General features: G+C 48.6%; 1 protein-coding gene across 3 annotated transcripts, besides 2 other annotated features; it reads right to left on the bottom strand.

Moving 5' to 3' along the window:
- Positions 425-9673, bottom strand: ZC3H10 (zinc finger CCCH-type containing 10). Of its 3 annotated transcripts, none has more exons than NM_001303124.2 (3): positions 9621-9673; positions 8788-8991; positions 425-7428 (listed from the first exon to the last, which is right to left on the bottom strand). In NM_001303124.2, exon 3 carries the CDS (start codon positions 7374-7376, stop codon positions 6072-6074), a length of 1305 nt encoding a protein of 434 aa, NP_001290053.1. In that variant the 5' UTR covers positions 7377-7428; positions 8788-8991; positions 9621-9673; the 3' UTR covers positions 425-6071. The 3 variants fall into 3 exon arrangements, with proteins under 3 accessions (NP_001290053.1, NP_116175.1, NP_001290054.1); NM_032786.3 differs by having other exon boundaries at positions 8788-8851; NM_001303125.2 differs by lacking the exon at positions 9621-9673 and adding an exon at positions 9172-9522 and having other exon boundaries at positions 8788-8851.
- Positions 1440-1699: an enhancer, noted in NCBI's record as "active region_6472". NCBI's record gives its function as "activates an Ori minimal core promoter by ATAC-STARR-seq in GM12878 lymphoblastoid cells {active_cell/tissue: GM12878}" and the evidence as "EXISTENCE:reporter gene assay evidence [ECO:0000049][PMID:35858748]".
- Positions 5787-6784: an enhancer, noted in NCBI's record as "H3K4me1 hESC enhancer chr12:56514939-56515936 (GRCh37/hg19 assembly coordinates)". NCBI's record gives its function as "activates a minimal SCP1, AML or CMV promoter by ChIP-STARR-seq in naive H9 embryonic stem cells {active_cell/tissue: H9 hESC(naive)}" and the evidence as "EXISTENCE:reporter gene assay evidence [ECO:0000049][PMID:30033119]".
- Positions 9674-9804: the final 131 nt, after the last annotated feature.

Below are 9804 nucleotides of genomic sequence, written 5' to 3'. Positions count from 1 at the left end.
CACGTGGGATTGGAGTGCCTGTGGTATGACGTCATGCAGAGCTGCACCGCCAATTTCTTGGTTTTGGAGAAAGCCCAAGTTGCGAAGTTGAGGGGTTGTGGAGCTTCAGGATTTCCCTCTACTCATTCGGTTTGGCAGGATTTGGTCTGGGATATATATATATGTTCTTTTGCCGACTTTCTCTAGTTTTCATACTCTAAGCACATTCCTTATCCTTCAACTTTTTCCTGCCTGCCCTTACAAAAGGAAAGGATACGATCGTATTTGGAATGAAAGTGTTTGAAAACTAACCCCGTCTATCCCGTCCCTAATCCCCTACCTTCTTTGTGTGGTGTAACGACTGACCCTGGAGAAAACTGGAGAGTCAGAGAATTACAGAGTTGAGATAATCCAGCCTTCAGGGAAAGGGGGAAAAAAAGCAGAGTGAATAGAAAGTGAGGCTTTATTTCTTTTTGGAAATTTCCAAGAGTTAGTAAGTCATCTCTATCTTAGAGGATGGATGTAAGACTAGTTGGCTCCAAAAGGGAGGGAGGCAGCGCAAATTATTACATTTTCCAATAATTTTCTGACCCTGAAGAACTTCTAGGACACTAAAATGAGGGATCAAGAGTAAGGGAAAGACAATTCCTTTTCACATTTGCCTGAGTTAGAAGGAAGGTTTGCCATACAGTCAGGTGCAGAACTAGTGCAGTCCCACAGTGTACGGTGTAGGTTTAGGAAGGAAAAAGTGCAGGGTACACCGATGACTATTGTTACTAGTTAACTGGCGTTAGAGGTGGAGTGTTGTCCTAGGATCTAGGAACTAGACTAATTGGAAGTTGATGAGGGAAGTGTTGGTCATAAGATGATTACCTTTTAATGCAGTATATATGGGGCATATTATGTAAATCTGTCAGATGCAGCAGAAGAACTGGGGTTGATCACTGGGAAGAAACTAGCCATTTCTTAGAGGAAGTGTCTTACAGGATGAGGCCTGCAGCTGATAAATTTTATCTGGTTCTGCAGGGCATAGATTTCATCAGCCTGTGTTTACCAAAGCTGCTTAAAACCTGTCCCTGCTCAGCCTCTATCACTTAAATTTTTTCACTTCCTTTTCTCTACTTCCCTAGGGCTAGCAGTATCTTGACTGCTTCATTCAGTTTGCAGAACTATTTAAGAAACAATATTCTGTCTCCTATATCCTCCATATTCCCAGAGGTAAGCAGGTAGAAAAGGGAAACAAGGAAATTGGAGGAATTATGAGTGACCTGCTCACCAACTGATAAAGCAGAACTACAGAAGGAACATGGATGAACCTTAGAGAGAAACCTCTCTATAAACTGAAATTTGCCAAGCACTGGAGTAGGCAAGGAGGTTCCTGAGAATGGGGGAATGGAGAGGGTGACCTATGGAGGTTCTTTTCCAAACTTCTCCCTTCCTCACCTCATCCAGATCATCAGAAATTATATAGGGGATAAAACTTCATCCTCAGGAAGTTCTTGTCCCAGCTGGGGCCCAGGAGCCACAGGATCAGCAGCTGCAATGCAGTTACCAACACAAGTAAACAGGGTGGGTCCCCGCCCACTGACAATTCTGCTGCCCAGGTGCCACCTGGTGGTGATAAGCAGTAAGTGGACAACAGGAAGGGATGCCCATTTGTTAGAGGAAGTGTCTTACAGGATGAGGCCTACAGGAGGAGAGAGAGTAAACTTCCTGGACTTGCAATCTGCATTTATATGTAAACCATAATCACCTCCAAGAGGCAGAGGGTGAGATACGGTACTCTGATCTCAGCTCACAAAGATGGGAAGGGCAACAAGATTTGAGGAAACTCCTTCTGTATTCTTTATTCCTCAAAAGTTACTGCCAAGCCAGTCGCGGTGGCTCATGCCTGTAATCCCAGCACTTTGGAAGGCCGAGGCAGTTGGATCACCTGAGGTCAGGAGTTCAAGACCAGCCTGGCCAACATGGCGAAACCCCGTCTCTACTAAAAATACAAAAATTAGCCGAGCATGGTGGCATGTACCTGTAATCCCAGTTACTCTACTTGGGAGGCTGAGGCAGGAGAATCACTTGAACCCGAGAGGCGGAGGCTGCAGTGGGCCGAGATCACGCCACTACACTCCAGCCTGGGCAACAGAGTGATACTCCGTCTCAAAAAAAAAAAAAAAAAATTACTGCCAAGTAGTGATCGCTTTGTTGGATGGCTATATCATTAGAACTTTCTTTTGTCGTCTGGAGTGAGACTGCCTGAATAGATTCCTGGCCCCATTCCTTACTTGCAGAACCCTGGGCAGGTTACTTTTTAAGCCTGCTTTCTCCTCTGTAAAATGGGTACAATAATATTACCCATTGTGTCAATGAGATGTTGCATGTAAAGTGCCTAGCACAGAGCCTTGGCTTATATTAAGCAGTCAACAAATGCTAGCCGGCTGGGTGCGGTGGCTCAACGCCTGTAATCCCAGCACTTTGGGAGGCCGAGGTGGGCGGATCACGAGGTCAGGATATGGAGACCGTCCTGGCTAACACGGTGAAACCCCGTCTCTACTAAAAATACAAAAAGAAAATTAGCTGGGCACCTATAGTCCCAGCTACTCTGGAGGCTGAGGCAGCAGAATGGCGTAAACCCTGGAGGCAGAGTTTGCAGTGAGCAGAGATCGTGCCACTGCACTGAAGCCTGGGCCACACAGCTAGACTCCGTCTCAAAAAAAAAAAAAAAAAAAAAGTTAGCCATTATTCTAGAAATCCCTTTTTACTTCCTGTGTAGCAAACAGGATCTTCCTCCACTGGGCAGCCCTTCAAATATTTGAAGACTTCTATTTGAAGCTTTCTCTTGCCAGCCTTTTTTTTCTAGCAACACACTGGTTTGTCAATGGCCCTCTTTAAAAATTACATTTAGAACAACACACTACTAAGTGGTTACACTTAGGCAGAACATAGAACTGCTGTATTTGTAATCTATTACCAAGGTTCTACTACCCTTATGGAGCTCCTAGAAAGATGCCTAGAACATAGCAGGCTCTTAATAAATATTTATAAATGGACATCTTGAGGGCTAAGATTCTATTTTTTTGCAGCCAACTGGAAGTCCCAGTTTGTTCTCATGTGAATTATTGCTAATATAAATCTCTAACATTGTTCCTCAAACTAGTTCAAGATCTAAGCAATTTTTTAGTGTGAGAGTGCTCCAGTGTTTTAGTCAATTCAAGTTACAGACACTTTGAATATTATTTAGCTCTTCCTGTGTTACTGTTGATAAATGGGTTTTTTACATGTTTACCCGAGTTGGGTTTTTTCTTTTTACAATAAAACATAGCCCTTGGGCTTATCACTAGAGAACAGAGATTTCTCTAACATAAATGCGCTAACCAACACTAAGTACAAGTGTTCAGTTTGATTCTACCAAATGCTACTATTTTTTTCTCATTATTTTTTAACCAGAGCCATTTGCATGGAAAAAATGCTACGATTAACTGACCCGTAATTTTCCTCTTATCTGTGATGACTTAGCAGGTGAGAGAGAGGAAAGTAGCTCCTGTAATCTGGGAACTGGCCTGACACAGCCAGGCTTCAGAGCTGTTAGGGCTGACCTGGTGCTCACAGGTAGCCAATGAGTTCTCTTGGACACAAACAATCTCACAAAACACCAGCATCAGACAAGGTCACTCAGTGACTGCGATGAAGTGAGACAAAAAACAAAATCACTACACAATTTTGTTTAAGCACAAAACAAGGTCAGTGTGCAAACCACAAAACAGCAAACATCCCCTTTCCCAGCTAGTGAGTGACTTCATCATCGACTGTGCTTAGGTTCACTTGTCTGCCCTTCTTCTAGACAAGCTACCCAATTATCCTGGATTCCCTTAACAGCACCCAATCCAAAAGAACACCCACTTTCTTGAATCTTCCCCAAAATCACTTAACCAAAGTCTAAGTTCTCTAAGTCGTTCCTAACACCCTCATGCTGAGACACACCACGTTATCCCCAATGGTGAGCCCTCCCCCTCACTGCAATGAGCATTAAACCCAACTTGCTCAATTACCAGGTGTATTCTTGGTGGTCTTCAGCTGGAGTAAATACATACAAGACATACAATGTCTAAAATTTCCCAAATCTACCTCTTTGGAGATAACCTGGCAAGGAGGAAATAAAGTCAGTCAGGATTTGACTGAGAATTCATGTTGGTATCTATGGTTACATTCTTCTCTAAATGCTCTTAAACCATCTCTTTTAATAGTCTAGAATTGCCGGGCACGGTGGTTCATGCCTGTAATCCCAGCACTTTGGGAGGCTGAGGCGGGCGGATCACGAGAGATAGAGACCATTCTGGCCAACACGATGAAACCCCGTCTCTACTAAAAATAAAAAAATTAGCCGGGCGTGGTGGCGGGCGCCTGTAGTCTCAGCTACTCGGGAGGCTGACGCAAGAGAATCGCTTGAACCCAGGAGGCGCAGGTTACAGTGAACCGAGATTGCGCCACTGCACTCCGGTCTGGTGACTGGGCAAGACTCCATCTCAAAAAAAAAAAAAAAAATTGTGTCCCAAAAAACATTAAGCTTATCAATGTGTTGTTTCTAAAATCCACAATGTTAGCCCACTTTTAGTCTTTAGGCTTTTTTTTTTAATGACTGGCCTTGACCTAGCCCACCATCTCCAATCCCAGATGTGACCTGAGTGATCAACCAGACAAGAAAGCAAGAGGTAGCAGGAGACATGATGAGGGGGAACACAATCCAGGATCACTCTCTACCCCCAAATCTACTGTCCCATTAGACTAGACACCTGAGTTGTTTTCCCTACATCAGCCGTGAGCTGAGGAGGAACTGAGGTTTGACTATTGGGGCCCCTGGCCTTACTGACTTAAGTAGATTTAAAACTTCTGGTCCTATGTGGAGACAGAGGAAAGGGATGGACCCTGAGGCTTGTGTCCCTAGAAGGACTCTCTTTTCCCAGACCTCCCAAGCCTTGAAGGCTTCAGGAACTGGCCACTGAAGGGGTGGGGTAGGAGGGACATTAACTGCCATCAACTGAGCGGCAACTGCCATCAACTCAATGGCCATCAACTCCACCTGTCCTGCTCTGTTTGAATAAGGATCTGTCAACTATGTAACATCCCATCCGCATTTCAGCAAATACACTCTCCTTACTGCCTGCCCTGCTAAATGACCCTAGGAGCCCTGGTTACTGAGGCAACCTGGGAATAGCACATACAGACAGAGACCAGAAACAGATGGGACTATTTTTAAAACTAGACTGGGTGGCTCCAAAGCTTTTACCCCATAAAGTGCCTTCCCCAAAGCCCCATTTGGTCTTGTTCTGGGTCCCTACCCTTCTTCACTGGCTTCTATCCATCTTACCAAAGCTATGTGAGGCTGGGGTCTTTATCCCATTTTGGCATGAGATCTATTTACTGCTCCCATCTTCCACACAGAATAGCTAAGCAAGTTTTCACTGCCTCCATTTGTTAAAAATAATTGTTCTTTTATTTCTTTGGAAAGTAGTGGGCCCTGCCCTATGGATTTTCAGGTCAAACTAGGGTAATGAATGCTCCCCTAGTCTTTGGGCTGGAGCACTATGGTCCCAGCTTTCCCAGGGCCCAGAAGCAATTCCTGTATTGTCCAACCCAAGCAACTAGGACCCAAATTGTCTGAAGGCTCCTATCAGGCCTTCTCTCCTGACCACCCACTTCCCAATCTTTCCTGGCTTTCCCTCTGGGCAGGGTATTTTTTTCTTCTAAAACCAGTGCTGGAACCTGTGCTGTGCAGAAGAGAGGACAAGACGAGGGATGTTCCCAAATTCCCATAAGAGGACACAGCCCCTCAGTCAGTCCTTCCTCTCTGCTGGCTTCAGTCTGCACTCCTCTGCAAGCCCCCACTGTGAGGCTTGAAGATGGACAAGAGGACCCTCATAAAAGGGAGGTGAGAGAAAACACACCATCCCAACCCCTCCTCAGGACATACTCCTTGTAGTCTCTTGTCCTAGTTCTCAAGGGAGCCCTTCAGACAGGGATGGGGAAGGCTAGGTGAGTGGGCAAGGGCCCCCTGACCCCAGCCCTGCGAGGCTATACCAGGGGAGTGTCCATTAGCCCCATCAGTGTGGCATGGCCGTGATGCGCATGCTCTGGGAAGCGATAGGGTAAGTCACCATGGGAGTGGTGGTGTGGCTCATTGTGATTCCTGCCAAGGGTTGGGCCATCGATACAGCCACAGGGGCCACAGGAGCCACAGATACAGCCACAGGAGCCATGGAGACAGGTGGAGGTGCCATTCCCTGGGCAATTGTTTGAGCCAGGGCAGCTGACAGTGGCGTGATCTCTGGGGTCAAGTGTGGGGGTGGGGGTGGTGGAGCAGCAGGAGGTGCAGCATTAGTTGGGGGAGCAGCTGGAGCTCCAGCAGGGGCCACCAGTTCTTGCTGGGACACTGGACGAGGCTGTAGAGCCTGGCTGCTGAGAGTAGTGTGAGTCTGGGCAATGCCATGGTTAAAAGTGGCAACAGTGCCCACAGTGGGGGCCAGAGTCTGCTCAGTCGCTGGTGCAGTGGAGCTCAGGGTTATGACCTTGGCCTGATTGCGGAACTGAGCATTTTGTTCCAGTAGTACCTCATTGGTGGCCAGCAGGTTGCTGACCTGCTTCTTTAACTCCTCTACCCGCTTCCTGAGCATGGCATTCTCCTCCTCTAGCAGTCTGCACTCCACCCCTCGCGGTGGAGCCAAACTATATTCATATGACTCAAAATGAGGGCCATCAGGGGGGCAGCATCCACCTCGCCGGCGTTTTGGGCCTGGCTCATGGTCCTCAAAGCCCCTGTCAGGAAGGTCATAGATATCATAGAGATCATGACGTCGTCCTGGGAGGACTGAGCCTGTTGAGCCCCCACCAGTGCCTCCTCCACCCCGAGCATCAAACTCAAAATCCCGTTGCAGGTGACGGAACTTGCACTTGGCTCCTCTCTGACAGTCACCCTTGAGAAAGTCACGGCAGATAGGGACCTCCTCCTTGCCATTTGGTAGGTCAGCCGGTGAAAGGCCAAGGCCAGCTGCTACTTTCTGCCTCAGCCGTGGGGGAAGCTCTCCTGTCTTCTTATAGCCATCCTCATCCTCCTTGGAGCCATGGATGAAACGGCAATTTGGGCGGCTACACTCCTTGTTCTGGAAGTCATGGCAGAAGATGAACTCGTTTTTGCTCACCCCCAAGTTGGACACCTCGCTCATGTCTGGGTGGCGATATCGGCAACGCTTGCCTCGCTTGCACACATTCCTCAAGAAGTCTCTACAGATGGCATCTGAGCTGGCCCCGCCACTGCCTACCCCTGCCCCACTGGCCTCCTCGCTGCCACCACCTCCAGGGCCTCCACCGCTGCTCCCGGTACCGTTGGCATAGCTGTCCCGGTCAGGCATCCTGGTCCCGCCCAACTCAGGGTTTTCTTTATCTTGCCACTCTTGGTGACCACTACAAAAGAGGAGAACTGTATCAAACAGGAGTCCTCCAGGGAGATCCCACTCTTCCTGACTATAAAGCAGGTGGCCCAGAGGGGCAATGGCTTTAGAGATGGAGAATCTAAGGGATAAGAATTCTGGCTGAAATGTCTGACTCATCAAAAGCCCCTCCCAGGGTTTTGTGCACCTGGTCTGGGTCAGAATGATTCACACTTGCCTGGCTAACGGAGGAGGGATAGGCCCAGGACGGAGCAGGGAAAAAATAGTGTTGGAATTCATCTTTCCTTTTGAGCTGACCTTATTAAAGTTGTGGAAGTGAAATTAAAACTGCAGTCAGTATCTGAATAGTCTGGAAGGAAACTGGGAATAGTGCCCAAGATGGGCTACTGAGCTACTAGGGCTGTAGAAGATGGGACACTGGTAACAAAACTTCCTTAACCCCCTTTCCTTTTCCTCAGGTAAGGGCTCTGTACACATCAAATCTCTAGAAGCCAAGAAATCCTGGGTGAAGAGACTGGTGTCACCAGCTTGAGGGGAGTCTCAAAACCTGTCATATTTTAGTATTCCCTCCCAGCCATCATCACTGTCAACGGCAGAGAGGTAAGCCCCTTCTATTTCAGGATAGGAGTTCTAAGTTAGAGTCTCCACTTCTAGATTTCCTAGGACAAACCATTTGTGATAAGGTCAAGTGGGAAGGAGTTAATTTCACAGGAACAAGTGACCTTTCCCCATTCCCCACCCCCTTCCTACTCCCCTATGTGAAGATCCCACTGACATCCAACCACACCATTCCTCAACCCAGAAAGATCCTCTTTATTTATAGACTCCATAAAAGCTTTTTAAGTCTCCTATTTCCCAAGAGAGCTTTGGAATGTCAGTCCACTGCCCTGGTTCTAGCCCTCCCCTCTCTCCACCCCCAGTAAGACCTGGAGTCCCTGCTACCACGTGTCTGACCTCCCAAGCCTTTCCTATGCGGTGTTCAGGCTCCCCCTGCTGCTGAAATAGGAAAACTTCATATTGTTCCCTTTGAGAATAAGGGAATCTTTCCTAATTCCTTTGGCCTTGACCTACCCCCACCCCACTACTGTGACTTTGCCTTCAGATCTCCCTAAAATGAACTAACCAAACCAGAGGCCAGAGTTACAAGAGAATCTGTAAGAGGGTCCTCCTCCTCTAAAGAGAGGTAGTCCCAGAATAATAGAAGCAATCAAGGAAAGAAGTGGTAAAAGAAGATACAAACTTTTAGTAAAGGGGAATGACCAGGTGAAGTACAAATGCCATCTATCCAAGCCTGGCTCACGTTGCAAGTCGCACCAGCAGCAGATAATTAGTTATGATGCTCCTCCCCACCCCACTCTCCCAGAATTGATACCTGAGGTAGCTCAGGTGAAGTCCGGGGCTCCTGTGGGTCTCCACCTCCACATCACTGCTGGGTTCTGAGCAGGAAAAAAACAGAGACTTGGGTGGAAGAAGGAGTAAGAGTGGAGGACTATGGGGTGGTTGTCACAAGAAATCTGACAAAACGGCAAAGCTTCGAGAACGTGAGGATTTCCTCAGGGTTCAAACTGAACTTCACCTGTCCAAGGGAGAAGTTGCCAGTAAGAAGAGTAAAACTAATTCGGAGGGACTGGGAGGAGGGGTTGGAAAACCAGCCCTGAGTGAACAAAGAGTGCGGGGCGCCCTGCCTCAAGATGAAAGAGGATGTGAGGGTCAGAGCACCGCCAAGGGCTGGAGTTAGTAATGGCTAGTGAGGAACCTCAAAAAGGCAGCGTCTGACAGTGCATTGGGATGGCCGATTAGACTTGAAGGCAGTGATTGTGACGCTTCCCAACACCCTAGAGTTTGCGAAAGAAGTCCTAGGAGTTTTCCCGCAGCAAGTCTTCTAGCTTGGCAGGTTCCGTGCAGTGCCGCCGGCGCTCAGCCGTGGGCTACGTGAATGGGACACTAAGGGCGCGCGAAGTGAAGCGGGGAGCTGGAGCTCCAGGTGTCATCAAGCTGAGGGGATGGGCAGGGTTGTGACGTCACGAAGCTGGCGTTTGCTCGCGATGCGGGGTCACTCAGAAAAGGGGCACTGCCCTGGGGTGTGAGGACGAGCCAGCTCGGTTCTGGGGGGCCTTCTGTGGCCTGGCCGAGCCCAGCCGCTGGGCCGGCCCCGACTCCTCCCCTCCGGGCGCGGCCTCCACCTAAGTCTCCCGCCTCCCTCACCTGCCGCCGCCGCCGTAGTTGCTGCTGCCGCCTGCCGGTCCTCTAGCTTCGACAAAGAGCCGCCTACCCGATCGCTCTTCCGCTTCCTGCGGAAGAAGTGACGCTCTAGCCAGCAGACCCGGAACCATACTCTATGGTGTATGAAGTACGCGTGCGACATGCCGCAGGGCGTTCCCAGCACGCT

The sequence above is a fragment of the Homo sapiens genome, chromosome 12 (genome assembly GCF_000001405.40).
Source record: "Homo sapiens chromosome 12, GRCh38.p14 Primary Assembly".
NCBI classification, from domain to species: domain Eukaryota; kingdom Metazoa; phylum Chordata; class Mammalia; order Primates; family Hominidae; genus Homo; species Homo sapiens.
This window is presented reverse-complemented; position numbering and strand designations above follow the sequence as displayed.